Source organism: Homo sapiens, chromosome 3 (assembly GCF_000001405.40).
Source record: "Homo sapiens chromosome 3, GRCh38.p14 Primary Assembly".
NCBI lineage: Eukaryota > Metazoa > Chordata > Mammalia > Primates > Hominidae > Homo > Homo sapiens.
The window spans coordinates 40,183,743-40,201,085 of record NC_000003.12 but is presented as its reverse complement, the minus strand read 5'-3'; the positions used below and the strand labels follow the sequence as shown (position 1 = coordinate 40,201,085).

At 42.1% G+C, this 17,343-nt stretch overlaps 1 protein-coding gene and 1 long non-coding RNA gene across 8 annotated transcripts in view, besides 2 other annotated features; one reads left to right on the top strand and one right to left on the bottom strand.

Annotated features, from left to right (window-relative positions):
• The window catches only part of MYRIP (myosin VIIA and Rab interacting protein), a 451,408-nt gene that overhangs the window by 59,236 nt on the left and 374,829 nt on the right, over positions 1-17,343 (bottom strand). For all 7 annotated transcript variants that reach the window (NR_104316.2, NM_001284423.2, NM_015460.4 and 4 more), the window contains one exon: positions 10,623-11,260. Coding sequence is in view for 6 of the 7 variants with exons in the window: in NM_001284423.2 (NP_001271352.1) it covers positions 10,623-11,260 (638 nt within the window). In the remaining variant the exon portion in view is untranslated. The remainder of the gene's footprint in view (positions 1-10,622; positions 11,261-17,343) is intronic.
• EIF1B-AS1 (EIF1B antisense RNA 1) overlaps positions 1-17,343 on the top strand; it is a 136,554-nt gene that overhangs the window by 108,613 nt on the left and 10,598 nt on the right. The window lies entirely within an intron of this gene.
• Positions 15,498-15,547: an enhancer, noted in NCBI's record as "active region_19712". NCBI's record gives its function as "activates an Ori minimal core promoter by ATAC-STARR-seq in GM12878 lymphoblastoid cells {active_cell/tissue: GM12878}" and the evidence as "EXISTENCE:reporter gene assay evidence [ECO:0000049][PMID:35858748]".
• Positions 15,888-15,997: an enhancer, noted in NCBI's record as "active region_19711". NCBI's record gives its function as "activates an Ori minimal core promoter by ATAC-STARR-seq in GM12878 lymphoblastoid cells {active_cell/tissue: GM12878}" and the evidence as "EXISTENCE:reporter gene assay evidence [ECO:0000049][PMID:35858748]".

Genomic DNA, 17,343 nt, shown 5'->3' with positions numbered 1-17,343 from the left:
ACTCCCACATGCTTAGCGTTCCAATAATGGAACATTAGGCATAATTAAGACACAATATTTTCATACTGGCCACAACTGTTCTGTCGCTTTGCAGAGAAATCTGTTAGGAATAAAGCAGCACTAACAGTGGGTTTCACTTTCGTTTTTTCTTTGACTCAGGATTGTGATAGGCATAGACTAAGTTATAGGATCCATGGATTTTGGTGGTGATTCAGAACCTGGGCCTTAATGCCAGTGTGAGAGTCAGGGTCAGCAGGAGGATTTCCTGGCAATCACGTGATGACACGCAGGGCAGGGGTTGGGGTGAAGGGACTGAGTGTGCTCTAGACCCCTTTCTCTGCATTGGCTCTGAATGACTTGCTATCCATTTGAATGAGCTGGGCTTGGGTCCCTGCCATATGGAATAGAGAACTCAACATTTTCTTTCATGGAATTGACATGGTTTTATTGCTACATACAAGTAAAAGCCATAGTTGATAGTTAGCCCTGCTATTTAATATCTACCTAAAAGAAGGCCCCAAATAATTTAACTATTGCTACAATAAAGTGATCATTTTCAGTGGATAATCCTTAATATCCAACAGACTCCTATTTAAAAATCCTATATAGAGAGGCTCCAGACAGGCTCCCAATACTCCCCAAGATTGAATATAAAACTTTGTTGGATTTATGCACATTTTTTTCCTCCCTAGAGAGAAGACCTAGAGCAAGCTTATTCAACCCGTGCCCCATGTGGCCCAAGAGGACTTTGAATTGAGCCCAACACAAATTCATAAACTTTCTTAAAACATAACAAAATTTTTTTTTGCGATTTTTCTTTTAGCTCATCAGCTATCGTTAGCATATTATGTGTGACCCAAGACAATTCTTCTTCTTCCACTGTGGCCCAGGGAAGCCAAAAGATTGGATACCCTGACCTAGTGTACCCATTAGGTCCTCAAAAGGGCCTATGATAAAAAGAAAATGTAAGAGGCACCATTTTTCAGCAAATGTCTCATTTTCTAGACATGTTCTCTGCAACGAGTTTATCTTGGAAGGCACTTCTAGCAATTCTTTTTCTCCAGGGGAATCAGTTGACAGACATGTGACTAAGATTTTTCTTCTGAGGGGTATTTGGTCACACCTGCTCTAAAGTCCTTCCAGGCTATTGTTTGTGCTTGCTGGGCTGCTGTGGACGTGGAGGTAAGTGGCGAGGAATGGGGGAGCAACTGTGCCTCAGAGCAGCTCTGCTTTCAGCCATATTATGATTTGTCTTCTCTTTATTTTTATTTTTGTGGGAGATACAACCTTTGGTACAAGTGAAAGTGCACTCTGCTGCCTTCCCTTTAGATTTCATTTAAGGGAATCCTCTATGCCTAAAAAGATTTGAAAATCAGGGTGGAGAATTGAAGGGCAGAGGGGAATGATTACCCTTTCGTCTGTGTACGGGAAATAATTCCAATACAGTTCTGAGTAGATTTTAAGGCCTTGCCTGGGGATATTGTCTTGGTACACTTCAGAGGCAGGCGAACCTTCTGGAGCCCCAGTGTTCTCAGGGGAGTGTCACTACTACCTCCAACTCAGCTTACTGCCAACATGCATGCCTCACAAGCACTTGTCAGAGAGCATCCCCTCGAATGCAGAGCTCCACAACACTCACAAAACAGGGAGGGGAGCTGTGGGGAGGCAGCCTTCCACTGCTCTCCATATGCCCACACTTAATCCTGGAGCAGCCCGGACAGCAGAGGTCAGTGCATTTTGGCCCCTCATCAGCCTGACTTAATTGAACAGTGCCTGCTGTGAAGGATTGGCCAACATTGAGTGACATTATGAGAAGCAACCCCCAGAGTGTGAATCCATGGGAGTAGTTTAGAGCAGGGGCTGCTGTGGTCTCCATCCTCTCCACAAGGATCCACAGGATGAGTTTCTCTTGGATTTCAGCTCCGAAAGCAGCATCCTTTAAGGAATGGATTTATTGTTCTACTAGAGCTTCCATGACTTCAGGAGCTGCTCATGTCACTCTCCTTTTATTGTCCTCTAGTAACTCAGAGACAAATTTTTGGTATCTCTTGCCTAAGATTCATTCCATCAATTTTGTGAACTATCATTACTCCTGGCTTCATCTTATCTTTCCTACTCTGGTTTTCCCTTTGTCCTCCTTTTCATCGTTATGTTTTTATTTTATTTTCTCCTGTTCATATTTATGTAAGCCACTTTAAATTATTTCTGGAGCAAGGCATACACCTATTAAATAAATGAATATTTACAGATGGTTAGTTATAAAGAACTGGTAGTTTCTCACTATGGCAAGACTCTTACCATATTTTTAAAGAATAATTAGAACCTAGAATGCTAGGCAGGAGAAAGTTTACCCCAAGAAAACAAGTTTCACTAATGAGTATAACCAAAAATGAAACATTGGAGGAAATTAAAATAACAGCCTCCTGTGATCCTGAAGTCTCAATCAACAAAAAATCAGCAGGTTTCCATTTCAAAATGGTATCTGGCAAACATCTTTCACACAAAATTTCCACCAAAACTGTGTGGGAAGATACAGAAAAAGATGAAAACCCACAACACTAAAAGGCAATCGAAGTCTGTTTGTTGCCAGTAAATGAATGGCGAAATTTTTTTTATTAAATATAAGGCTCACGAGTGCATCTGGAGATCCATTCACTCTCTACCTTTTCTAAGTAGTCACAATAATTGTTGACCCTCCTCCCAGTATTCTCTCAACCTCCAATCTTGGTCCAGAAATATTAAGATAAATGCTCACCATAAAACAAAGCAAAACAAACACCAAACAAACAAAAACACAACAGTTGAGCCTTCTATTGTGGCAGTGGGACTTTTTAAGCATCCGAGGAGAAGCTCACTTCCAACTGCCCTCGGTGCTTCCCTGTTTTATAGCTACTTTGAAAATGTATTTAGTCTAAAATATTTAGGTGGGTAGGAGGAAGAACTAGCCATGGTACCATGTTGCATCCTGGGAGGTGTAGTGATAAAGCGTAAGCCCTGGGGTAGAGACTACAAAAACCATGCAAAGTGTGTGATGGTGTCTGTTCTTTCTAATTCATTCATTCATTATCTCTGTATTCAATACTGTGGCTAGGTTCTTAGCCATCTGATCAGAGAAGCATAATGCGAGGCAGTAAGTATATAACAAAAATCCCCTATCTTAAGCTAGCAGAGTGGAAATTATTTGTGGGCATTAGATATTGGCAAACAATGAGAGTGGGAATAGCATTATCCTCATCTAAGAACTGCTAACAGGAAAAGTTAATGTGGAACCCATGGAAAAATACTGCAGAGAGAAGGAAACAAGTTAGCCTGAAGGCATCATGTGAATTTTACTAACAACCAGGACACAGTGTCTGATAGCAGTTTTGCATTCTCATTAGAGAGTAATAATACAGATTTTCAATTAAGAGGTGTAAAAAGCTATAAGAGTTCAGCACTTACACTAAAAGACTACAGGATAAGGTGAAATGGGGAGATAAGACAAAAGACTGCAGAAAAACTGAAAACACAGAAGCAGACATAGACCTGCATTTGAAGTCTAGACTTACAGAATTACACTTGCATTAATTCTGCAACAGCAGAATTAATATTCAAAAGAGATGGGGTTTTAGCCCATCTATGTCCATCAGGGGGTTGGGTTTAGGAGGACAGAAGAGTGTGTTCAGCGGTTTATGTTATGGATTGCATAGAGCAGGGGGTCCCCAACTCAGGGGCCATGGACTGGTACTGGTCATTGGTCTGTTAGGAACCAGCCTGTGCAGCAGGAGGTGGGCAGCAGGTGAGCCAGCATTACCACCTGAGTTCCACCTCCTGTCAGATCGGGGTGGCATTAGATTCTCAGAGTAGCGCGAACCCTATTGTGAACTGCACATGTGAGGGACGAGACTTGTGCACTCGTTATGAGAATCTAACTAATGCCTGATGACCTGAGGTGGAACAGTTTCATCCCGAAACCATCCCTCACCTCCCACGACCTGCCGCAATCCATAGAAAAACTGTCTTCCACAAAACTGGTCCCTGGTGCCAAAAAGGCTGGGGACCCCTGGCATAGAGGCTCAGCGTGCAAAGGTATGTGTCAAGTGAGTGAGGCCAGGGATAAGGTAGAGAATGTGAGAAAGGACTCCTGCTTTCAGCTGGCTTTGTCTGCTGCTAATCCTGGCCCATGAGGTGAAGCATCTAGCAGAGAGTGAGATGACAGATGTACTTTTGCATCTCCTAACATGAGTCCCTCACAAGACTCTAAAAAGATAGGAATTAAGAAAACTACAGGACAATGAAGACAACAGTAAATAAGGGTGGGAAATTAGAGAAATGAAGGGAAATGAATGTGACCTTCAAGAGACAGGACCTTGTCTTGTTAATGCCCAGAACAATGCATACATACACATGCAGTTTTGTCTCCAAAAAACAGAGAACATGTGTTCCTTCTAAACACACATAAAACATTCACAAAAACTGATCATTTATTAAATCATAAAGGCAGTCTCAACAAATTCCCAACATTAGCAATTATGTAAGCCATATTCATTATTCATAATGCATACTAAAAATTAGTGACAAAACCAAAACAAAATGCAAAAACAAAGCAAAGTGTTATCCATCTCACTAACTTAATTTGATTAAAATGCGAATTACATTGGAAATGATCAATTACTTGGAAAAGTTTGACAATGGATTGCATATCAAGGCTAGTGGGGTGGAAACAAAACTGAATTTGAGGGAAAATTCATTAGCTATATTGGAAATATATATGAAATATTTTACATATCAGAATATATAGAAAAACATGTATGAAAACAAGAAAGTAAAAAGAAGACATTAATAAATATAAAAGTAGAAATTAACAGACTAGGAAGCAAAAATAAAAAATCCCTGGGATTAATGAATGAAAGTAACAGCTGGTTCTTCAAAGACACCAGTAAAAAAAAAGACTGGTAAGTTCAAGTAAGAAAAGAGGGAATGATAGAGAATGAGAATGAGAGCAAGAGAGAGAAAAAAAATCTATAAACTAGAGGATGCATAACTATAGTGCAGAGAAATTTTTTTTAAAACGTGATGAGAATATTAGGTATAATATCAATACATTTGAAAATCTAGATTAAATAGATGATTGCCTGTGAAAATGTAAATTACTAAAGTGGATTTAAGAAGAGTTACAAAATCTAAATAGTCTAACAACCAAAGAAGAAATCTATAAAGAAAGTAAAAGATCTTAAAAGGTGAATTCTCCCAAACTTTCAGAAAATTATTATGTCATATAAAGTGTTCTAAAAATAATATAAAATAGGGAACCCTTGCCATGTTCTTAGTATCACCTGATACCAAACTGAAGGAGATAGCATCAAAATGGAAACCAACAAGTGGAATCTGCTTTTTATTAAAAAAAAACCATAATCAAGTAAAATTTATGCAACAAATGAAAAGATTATTCAAAATTGAGAAATCTATTAATGTGATTTACAACATTAACAGATTATAGAAGAAAAAGCTGGCCAGGCACAGTGGCTCATGCCTGTAATCCCAGCACTTTGGGAGGCCAAGGTGGGAGGATTGCTTAAGCTCAGGAGTTCAAGACCAGCCTGGGCAATCTGGCAAGACCCCATTTCTACAGAAAAATAAAAAGAAATTAGCTGGGCATGGTGATGAACTCCTATAGTCCCAGCTACTTGGGAAGCTGAGGCTGGAGGGTCTCTTGAGCACAGAAGGTCAAGGCTGCAGTGAGCCGTTGTGCCACTGCACTCCAGCATGGGTGACAGAACAAAATACTGTCTCAAAAATAACGTAAAATGAAATAAAAATAAAAAAGAAAAAGTCTATGATCATCTACTGCCAAAAAGCAGTCACGTTCCTGATTTAAATTGTTTAGTAAGTTAGGAATAGATAATTTATCATTTTGATAGTATCTAATAAACTTAGAGCAAGCATCCCACTTAATAGTGAAACACTGGAAGCAGGTCACTAAGGGTAGCAGCAAGACAAAGGCAAGGTGCCAGATGTCATTGCTATGTCACAGTGTAGCATAATTAGTCACCAATGCAATAAAAAAAGAAAGAGAAATAAGTATACATTATAGGAAAAGATAAGTGTCATTACTTGTTGACAATATGATTATCTATCTGGAATAGCTAAGATGATCACCCAAAATACTACTGGAACTGAGAAGAGAATCCATTAGGGAACTAAGTTATAAAATGTAAACATGAAATTAACAGTTTCTATACACCAGTGAAAAGCAACTAGAATATGTAATAAATAAAATCTCATTTACAATATCAACACAATGTATAAGATAATTAAAAATTACTTGACAAGAAGAGTATAAGAGCTTTGAAAAAAATCTATAAAACTTCACTGAAAGTAAATAAGTGGGAATAAATACCACATTATTGATAGGAAAGGCTTAATATTACAGAGATATCAATTATTCTGAAGTAGATACATACATTTAACGCAATTCCAATCAAAACTTAAAAAGGCTTCTTTGCAACTTGAGCAGATTTTAACAAATCATTTAAGTGAAGGACTGAGAAAAGCCAAAATGCTTTTAGAAAATGATATCATCATTTTCTAAAAATCCACAACAGTGAAGAGAAGACCATCCACCAGATTGCAACATATATTATAGAGTTATTATAATTAAAATAAAATAGTATTTGTAAGGGAATCGGGCTTCTAGATCAATGGAACAAAATAGAAAGTAAAGAAATAAAACAGGCTTATAGAAATAAAAGGTTAAAATATACTAAAGGGGCATCTGAAACCAGCGGATAAATGATAGATTATTTAATAATAATTTTGTGACAAATGCTTAATTTGAAGGTTAGAGCTTATCACATATCACCCAGAAGGATAAAGTACAGACGGTCTAAGGGGCTAAACTGAAAATAGAAAACTACGAAGGATTAGGAAGAAATTGGAAAAAAAATCCTTAACCCTTGCAAATTTAAGGCCTTAAGACACCAAATACAAAAATAATAAAGGAAATAACTGATAGTAACCAAAAATAATTGATAAATTATTATGAACAAAAATTTTTGTATGTAAAATATACTTAGGGCAAAAGAGACAAGGAGAGAATAGTTTCACGTGTAACCATCAAAGATCTGAAATCTATTATATAATTAGAAAATAAAACTAATTCCTAAAAATCAGTAAGAAAAAGACAAATAGTCCAATAAAATAACAGATAAAAAAAGTATAAATGTAAATTGCATATCAAGGCTAGCGGGATGGATGAAAGAAGAAAAGTGTAAATAGCTTTAAACACAGGAAAAATTGCTCAATTTCAGTAGTAATTATGAAAGTGTTAGCCAAAGAGGATTTTTTTCTTCACATAAAATTGGCAAAAATTTAGCAGACTGACAACACTATTGTTGACAACATGAGAGAACATACTCACACACTGTTATGGCTATGTAAATTGCTCTGAAGTTTTGGGAGCTTAATTTGGCAAGTCTATTTTAAAATTAAAGACCCATATACTCCTCCAGTCAGCAGTTCCACTTCTCATACTTGTATAAAGAGGTTTATGCTACAATACTCTCTGCGGTATTGTTTATAAAATCAAAACATTGAAAAAGTCTTTAAATATCCTATTATCCGCAGTACTGCTTATAAAATCAAGATATTGAAAAAGTCTTTAAATACCCATCATTATGGAACAGTGGTGAACCAAGGGGGTTAAGGAGTTAGGTGTTGGAAGCCACTGAACCAGGCAGGAAGAGTATGTTATCACTAGCATTGCTTAGAATTGTCTGGACATGGTGCAAGGTGAAAATAAGACTGACTTTTGTTGGATCTATTATTGTTTTAACATTCTCCACAGACAATGCATCCCCTATTGCACACCCTGGATAGACTTCTACAATCCCCACAGTCCCCCCTTGATACACCATCTCAATGTAATCTTTTGCAGGTTGAATGCCTAGGTCTGTGTGCCTTGTAACCTTGGGTCCTCCGGTTTTTGGGTGTGCACTGTGAAAAAAAAGTACCCACTTGTTACTGTTGCACCTTCAGTTCTTATTGTTTCAAAAAGTTCCCGGAAAAAGCTCAGTCCAGGAAAAACAAAAACTGGTTGGATCCCAGAGATGCCTGAGTTGGAGATGAGCTTTGGTGAACTTTCCTCATTACCATACTACAGGCCCCTCCCAGGGAGGAGCTTATTCTGCATTTTCTATACAGGTTACTATGTAGAAGCATGATGGGCAACTGCACCAGTGCTATTTTGTCTCCACCTCTATATACAATGACTCAGCTAACCAGCCCAAGAAAAGCCCTGTTTTCACCATTGTTTGGGGAGGCGCTGCTTTGAGGAGCTATCCCCAGCGTCCTTCTTACTTGTTGCAGGTAACAAAATCCTCTCCTTAATCCTCCTTGGTTGTGGTCATTGGACTGTTTTTGAACTCACCTGTTGTTGTGGGTAACATGGTGACACCTCGGTGACACCTCTATCACTTACTGTTAGGAGAAAGCAGTGGAAGCATATGGACAGCATGTTGCCAATTTTGCTAAAACACATTCACTGAACTATATTTCTAAATGTACTTTATGTATGAATGCACAAGATCTGCATGGATTCACACCAAATGCACTTGCAGTCATTTTGGTGGAGATGACAGGGATTTAGGGTTGTGGTCAAGGGGAATTGCATCTGTATGTTTTAAGTATTTTTTACATTATACTATATTCATTTATTTATATAATTAAAAAGTAAATAACTTAAATAAATATAAATATATATATGACATATATATATATGACATATATATATATATATGAAGAAAACTAACTGCCGCAGTAAATGAAATCAGAGGGAGAATTAGAAAGGTGAGGGCCTGTTGCAGTGGCTCATGCCTGTAATCCTGCACTTTGGGAGGTTGAGTAGAAGGATCGTTTGAGCCCAGGAGCTTGAGACCAGCCTGGGCAACACAGTGAGACTCTGCATTAAAAATAATGATAATAATAATTAACCAAAAAAAAAAACCCATCAGGGTTTTGATGTCTCTGGAAGTGCAGCACCATCCCCACCTAGTGGAGAGGAGTGGGTACTGCCACTAGCTCAAGGTCACTCCCCAGGAGGCAGAGGCAGTGCCTCTTCTCTATCAATGCCTTGCAAGGATTAGCAGAAGACAAATTTCAAGCCATTTCAGAATAAATAGAAAGCTAGTTGAGGTGGAGACGTGACATTTTACACCTGCAAGTGAATCATGCAGACAAACCCTCAAGAGTATCCTTTGAGGCAAATCATTCCATGTTTCTGGACAACAGTCTCCACTTGAGCTAGACAATAATGATTCACACTTGAACCAAAGTTTTTAATTTTATTCTAAGACCATAACAATCCCATGAGACAGATTTTTAATGATCTTCTGTTTTACAGAGGAGAAAACGAAGCTTGGACTAAATAAAATACCTTTTCTAGGCAATATGTTAGCAGGTCAATCAGGACTGATACCAAATTCTATGACTTGAGGACCTGAGTCCTCAATTGTCTTCATGGGGGCCTCAGGACCAGGGATGTGGCTGAGGCATTCATAGAAGATCTTGTAGAAGACACTGGTGAAATCTTGGACCATATCTTTGGACCTACGTGAGTTGTCTGCAGCCATAGGGGACACTATCTGGCCAAACTAAGAGTATAGGGCATGGCAGCTGGGCTCCACAAGGTTTGGTATTGAGTTGACAGTGATGTGCAGGTCTTCACCAGAAGAGGTGGGGGCAAGGGCAAGGGCATAGCACAATCAAAGTCACAGGGCTGGGAATGAGCAGGGTGTATTTAGAGAATATAAAGTTAGTCTGGTTGGGAGCCCATGAATTATCTGAAATTGTAAGCAAAAGCAAAATTGTGAGTATGTTTGTGCATGTGTGAGTGTGCATGTGTGAGTATGTGTGTGTATACAAGTGCATTTTTAAAGGGAGAAAATTCATGGCTTTAATCACATTTTTCTTGAACTAAACCATGTGGGAAGAACTACTGAGGATCCAGAGAAGGGGTCTGATGTAGACTAAAGAATCACAGAATATTGAAATAATGTTTACTGAGACCTAGTGTCACATCTCAGACAGAGCTTAGCTCTTTATAAACATCTCTTTCACTTGTCATGAACACCTTTTGAGGTGGGTTCTAATATCATCTTCATTTTACAGATGAGGAAACTGAGAACTAGAGAGATGCCTTGCCCAAGGCCACACAGTTGGATCTGAACCCAGGCAGTCTGACTCTAGATCCCTCACCCTAAACCCAAGGCCAGTGGCCCTCAAACTTGAGTGCACAGTAGAATCACCAGGAGGGCTTGTTAAAATAGACACGGCTGGGTCCCATGCCCAGAATCTCCAATTTGGCAGATTTCTAATGAGTTTCCTGGTGGTGCTGATGCTGCTGGTCTGGGGGCCACACTCACAAACCACACTTTGAATTCTAGGCTGTCATCTCCAAAGAGGACGTGGAGTCCCAAAGAGTTGATGTGACCTGTCTAGAGGCACTCAGCTACTTAGCTGCAAAACCAAGATGAGAATCTGGGTCTGCGGATTCCAAACCCAGGACTCTATGCCACTTGTGCTTGGAGTAGGGCACATCCTACCTAAAGAGTGTGTGTGCATTTGCACGCATGCACTTCCATTACCTGATGTGTGTCTAGATCCCGGAGCTGGGCGCTGGGGGAAGATGGTTCTTTGCTTGGCTCTTCTGAGCCCAGTCGGGCTCTTCTCCACCTCCTGGCCCGCCGGTCTGTGGTGTGGGGGGCCTCCTCCGGCTCGCTGCTGTCCGAGGTCTCCCTGCTGGCCAACTGGGGGTTGAAGTTCACGTCCAGCTCTCCATGCAAGCGCATCTTCTCAGCTGCAGGGTTCCTGGGGGCCTTCCTCTGCAACCAGGACAGTCTGGCCTGGTGCCCAACTTCTCGGGAAGAGCCTGCGGAGGAGGTCTCCGAGTCAGAGCACATGGCCTCAGGGTTGGGGGAGAGTGCAGAGGATGGGGAGGCAGCTATGGGGCCTTGGTCAGAGCTCTGGGCCTGTGTGGGCTGAGGCTGGGGGTTCCTGGGCAGGGCCCGGGACCTGGGACACAGCTTGCTCAAGGCCTCACTCCAGTCAAAGTCTTCCTCGCTATCGGAGCCCATCTCATCGTAGGCAGATGCCACACTGGAGGCCACCTCCAGGGCCTGAAACGTCCCGCTCTTAGGTTTGGCCAGTAGTCGGGTGGGGGGTGGAGCGCCATCCTTCAGGGCCACCCAGTTCCCGTCGGGGCTCTGCAAAACTGGGGCCAGGTCTGTGGATGGAGAGGATAGAGAAAGCAGAGAGGGGCTGTTATCACTTTAATGCAAGATGAAGTTGCCACTTGTTACCTCCCCAAGAGTGGCTTGTGGGGCTGTTGGAGAGCAGTTGCCTTTAGGAAGCCCAGGAAGGCAAACCCAATTGGTGGGCAGAGTTCAAAGTTCCCCAAGGAATCTCTTGAAAGCTCAAAGGGTCCCAGTGCTTCACAGATGCAGAGAAACTCAGAGATCTGGCTCCTATTTCAGTCTACCAGGGTTGATACCATCTCAGTCTCCTCAGCACTGTCCCACTCCTGCCCTAGGCTTGCCTGGAAGGGGAGGGGAGAGGGCTGCAGTTGGCAGTACCAGCTTCTGGCTCTTTGACCTTGGGCTACAATTTTGTCTCCTGGATCCTTAGTTTCCCCTCACTGATGGGAAACAATTCCACCACCTGCCCTGGCAGACCTCAGAGGTTAACACATCTGCTCTTGGCTCTTTTATAGATCCTACTTCGTAATAGGCTCCTGAGATAGGCACATAGGTCTATTTTTAACTCAAGGAACATGCCTCACTCTGGAAAGGACTTGAGGCCAAAAAACTTTGGTATTTCCAATGTCATTTTATGGATGAGGAAATGAAGATGAGCGAAGTTAAGTAACTGTTAAAGGTCACAGAGCTGCTAACTTTTAGAGTGAGGACGAGGTGCATCCTCTACCTGACTCCAAGGCAGCTCTGGGCTATAGATTGTGCCACGGAAGTCCTTGGCCAGCTGCAGAGCACCATGCAAGGACAGCTGGAGCAGTTCTCAGGCTGTGACTATGGTCTGGAGTGGTCTAAACTGGGCTCAGGTCTGCCTGGAGCATGGTCCCAAGGATTGATCTGCATGCTGGGGGTGGATTGGTAAAAGTTGTTTTGTCTTGTTTAAGGTGAATAGGAAAATGCTTTCTTCCCACGTGTCTGTGGGGTGGGAGTAAGATGAAATGCTGCTCCGTTAGCTATTCGTACTTGGCCCAGGACTGAGGTCTCAGGCACAGCAGTTGCCAACAGGAGCTGTCTTTTTTTTTTGAGACAGAGTTTCACTCTTGTTGCCCAGGCTGCAGTGCAATGGCACGATCTCGACTCACTGCAACCTTCACCTCCCAGGTTCAAGTGATTCTCCTGCCTCAGCCTCCTGAGTAGCTGGGATTACAGGTGCACACCACCACACCTGGCTACTTATGCATTTTTAGTAGAGGCGGGGTTTAACCATGTTGGTCAGGCTGCTCTCGAACTCCTGACCTCAGGTGATCCACCCGCCTCAGCCTCCCAAAGTGCTGGGATTACAGGCGTGAGCCACAGCACCCAGTCTTTTTTTTTTTTTTTTCCTTTTAACCAGGACTGTTGCAGGGTTGCCTGGGGGCAGTGATGAGGACCCCAGGGCTTTGAAGAAACCATTCCCCAGTTTGTGTGTGGACATCTGCTTTGGGGCTTAAGGCCTGTAGCAGCCACAGCCCTGCTGCAGTAGGACTCTGAAGCAGGGTCTTACTTTATGCTAGTTAAAACACACAGGTTTTCTACCAGTTAAACTGCTACTGCTCCACATAATGAAAGGAAAGTTATCAGTATTTCACAGTGCTGCCCACAGAGCATTGTACCTGCTAAGCCTGTTTCAGAACCACAGCCTTAGGGGAATTCAGATGCTGGTGGAACATATGTTTTCAACAGCAACCCAGTTCCACTTCCACTGCCTGACTGCAGCTCAGACTGGCAGGACATCGAGTTATTTTTATTTTGAGAGTCAGGAAGTGGGGCTTTCACTGACGAGGAGGACGCTGGTCCCTGGCAGTGGGCTGATACAAGCAGGGTCCTCCAAGAAGCCTGAGACCACACACCTGCCTTTCTCTGCTGCTCTTGCCTTCAGTGTCCCTCTCCACCACTTCCATGTAGTAAAGCCCTAGTGACTCTACAACACCTCATCCCACTGGTGGGAATGGCCTTTTCCTGGAGGACATTCTCATCTCCCTGCTTATATCATGGCCTCTCCTCTGAGCTCTCCTGGTGTGAGGGCCTGGTTGGCTCATTCCACGTTCTTCCATGTGTTCTACCTGTCACACACCTGCTGAGTATGAGGACAAGGTCCCTGAGGCAGGGCCTGGATCTCAGGCATCTCTTTATCCTTACAAGAAAATTAGCCTGCTGTGTCCCAGAGCCAGTTTGTGCAGTGGAAAGACCAGTGGTCTCGAAGCCAGAGGTCCGGGAGGAAGCCCCACTCAGCCACCTGGCAGCTATGTGATCCTCTGTGCCTCGGTTCTCTGACTGGTGAAAAAGGGCATAGCTAAAACCTCACTGGGTTGTCAGAGGACTGCACGAGGGGATGCTTGTGAGTGTGTTACACATGCCTGCTCAGGGAGGAAATTAATTCCTGATGGCTCCTTTCCCCTTGTCTATAAATGAAGGAGGCTGCTTTAGTATAGGGCAAAGAACAAGAGCTTTGGATTAAAGCAGATGCAGGGCTGATCCCCAGCTACTGAATTTACTAGCGGGTGACCTTGGTTAGAGAACACCTCTGGGCCTACTTCCTTGTCCAACAGTGGGGTCAGTGTGACCCACCTTTGGCTGTCACTAGAATTAATATGAGATAATGCATATAAAGCATCAATCCTAGTGCCTGCTATACTTAGGGCCCTGAGCTATTTTTAGCTTATATCTGTTGAATCAGATTTAGCATTAGTACTTAACACCTGGTTATGAATTAACACCCATGCACTCCATATGTATGCATACAGAAAATATATATGTATCTGATAGTCACTATTCAGTATGACATATTAATATCTATACAGCAACACTATTTTCATTGACAATGGAGCTATTCAGAAGAGTGGCTTGCTAGCATTATTATTACCATTTATTATTGGGTTCTACCTGTGGTGGTGGTAATAGCAGGTCTTTTGAGAAAAGTATTTCTATTTTGCTGGCATTCTCCTAATGCTGTGTCTGGGGATTGTCAGTCAGGTGGTAAGGGTTTCTCAGGAATGCTCAGGTTCTCAGTGAAGCTATGCATGGCTAGTAAGTAGTTATATTGATTTTTACTGCAGCAGGCTCTGTGTGTGCCCCACCCCAAACCTTGGCCCTCACGACTTCAGTGTATGCCAGCTGGACTTCCAATTGGCAGCACTTGCAAGTCTTTACTTGAGGCTTGCTCTGGCTACTAGAGCCTGTGTTGCCTGCCCCAGGGGCAGAGTGGAAGTACCCAGGATTCATCGCCTCCTGGGAGCAGCCCTCAACCAATGAGTAGGGGAGCTGGTGGCTAAGTATCCCCCCTCTTTTGCTTGCCAGGCAGGTGAGTCTTCTACACTGGCTCCCAGAGTCCCCAGTGGGGTCAAGCTCCAGCCACCCACAGTGGCCATCTGCTCAGTAACAAGTCATTTATTGCCTGATTTTCTTTCCTTGTCTCACATTTCTACTCCCCTCCCTGTGTGTTTTCTGGGCTCACCTCCCAAATAAACTATAGGTCTTCAGATCCTCATATTAGGTTCTGCTTCTGGTGGGAGTCAAACCAAGACGCCCACATGATGCAAAGTGGACTCCGAGCATGGCTGTGGAGCACTCACTCTGAGAAGAAAGGAAAAGTCCTCTGGGCCTTCTAATCTGTCACTGAGGCTGCTCTCTGGACCATCTTTCAAGACTTGACTTATACATCACTCCTCAATTGCATATGCTTGGCCTTCCTTCCTTGAGACGCTGGCTATTCTGTTCTCTGAGCTTTGCCAAAAAGCTTTCATTTCTTAACACTCAAACTATATTATAGTTTATTTTCTTGGTTGTCTACCCTACCCCTCAATCCTGATCATGGGCTCCTTGAGGGCAGAGCCACGTCTTCTTCACTGCTATGCCCCAAGCCCCTGGCCAACTTTGCGTCTCATCCTGGGCACATGAATACTACTTGTTAATGAATACAGGCACCAAAGGCTATAGGGGCGACGGGGCTCATTGAGCAGCTCTCAATGAGCCCTGCTGTCTACAGCTTCTCCTGGGGCCCTGGGAGGAATCCAAAGGAGGCGACCCTTGATAATGCCACTCAGGGCTGGCTCTAGGGTTGACCATGTTATAAATGTGGTCCCCTACATGGTGAGGTGGCATTTGACCCATTGCCAGCTCTCCTTCTCCTGCTTTTTTACAACCCTAGGTTGCCTCATGCCTCTTTGGAAGCTAGAAGTTGACCAAATTTTCCCTCAGCAAACTTTTACTTCTTAGCAAAAACACAGATGGCTCCCTGAATACCCAGACATGTGAAAACTTTGGTGGTTGTTGAGCAGCATTATCAAAGCTGCACCTGTGCTCCAATACCACAGTCTCCCGGTCCATCAGGAACACCCCTCGGGGATCCTGCTCCCTCTTCCTCTTTCTCCAAATTCCTGCTCTTCCATTATTGTGCAGACAACTAACTCTCACTGAGTGATCCCAGAGCAGTGACAATTCCCCGATCTTTATTTCCCCAACACTGAACACACGCAGCATATACAGCAGATGCCTAATCAAGGTTTATAAAGTGAAAATGCATTTGGGGGAAACCCATTAACTGCTATAAGCAGCGTCAAGACTGAAAGCGGAGTTACTGTGGTTTACCCAAACCGCAGTGCCCCTAAGACTGACCCCAACTGTGCACGAACAGGCTCCTGAATCAACCCTTCTCCTGAGGCATAAACACAACTGCCAAATATAGCCCAGTGGGCATTCACTTTCTAAGATGACCTCCACCTTCGGAACGCTTCTATTTGATGTTTCTGCCCAACTGAGATTGAGCAATGCCTGTAGGAATAATTTGCTTCCTGCTAAACATTTCAGACATCCCTCAAGACCTCTGAGGCTGGCATGGACAGTTTAGCATGTCAAGGGCTAAAAATTCCTCAGAAAACCAGAAGTTTTCCACCCAAGTCCTTTTTAAAAAATTTTAAATCTTTATCCTGAGAGATGCATAGAGTTTTGAGCAGAATGTGAAATCTTTTTTTGGGTGTGTGATGCTGTGGAACTAAGTTTTATGTTTATATACAATTGAAAAATTACCTATGGGTGCCTAATTTTACAGAAAATTATGTACAAAATCATGTTTTGAAAACAAAATTCCTTTGCAAATTTATTATGAATGCTCATAATCCAGTTGGAAACTATTTTGTGAAATAGAGCATCTTGTAGTTGTTTTTATAATATCCTACACATTTATCACTTTGCAAGTCTGAATTTTTGTTTGTTTTTTGTTTGTTTGTTTTTATGGTAGAGAGACACTTATAATGCAGTAGTTGAAAACCTGCAAATTGGAGTCATGCTGTTTGGATTTGAGGACCAGCTCTGCCTACATTGGCTGTGGGGTCTTGAACAAGTCACTTAACTTCCCTGTCCATCAATGTTCTTATCTGCAAAACAAAATAATGACAGTGTCTGGTAATGCTGTTGGAGGAAAAAATAAAATAGTGCCTACATATGGACTCTGTATTTTTTTTATTATACTTTAAGTGACTCTGTATGTTTTAAAGTGATTTTAGAAAGCTAGATATTGTGTATTGAAGTTCTATTATGTGGTATTCTCATGTACTCTATGGAATCTAACAGTCCATTTTCTGTGTGCATTTGCAATCCATAGAGAAAGAGAGAGAAGTGAGAAAATGAGGAAGAAGAGAGAGAGCGAGAATATGAATGAATGAATATGAATAGACTGGGAGGGCAGAGGGAGGAAAGAAAGGCATATCTAGAAAAGAAAAATGCACTTAAAAAGCAAAAGCAAACACCATATACATAAGTAAAGAAACGATCACATGCTGCAGAATTTCTGCAATGTCATGGCACTGCAGTTTCTACTAATAGGTACTAAAAGGTTAATATAAAAATAATCTCTTTTGGTAAATCTTTAGAATGACAGTTAAAAATATTTAATGTTTTCTGATTCTTTGCACTGTCGTAACAATGGATTTTGTTTCTATAGTTGTTGGTTAAATCTTTTCCCTTTTAGAGTAGAAATAATAGCACAATCTTTAAAAGCTTATTACTAGGATGGCTATGCTGCTGTTAATCTTTTTTGTTGTTTTCATTATTCAGGAAAGGGGTCTAAATCTGATACGACATG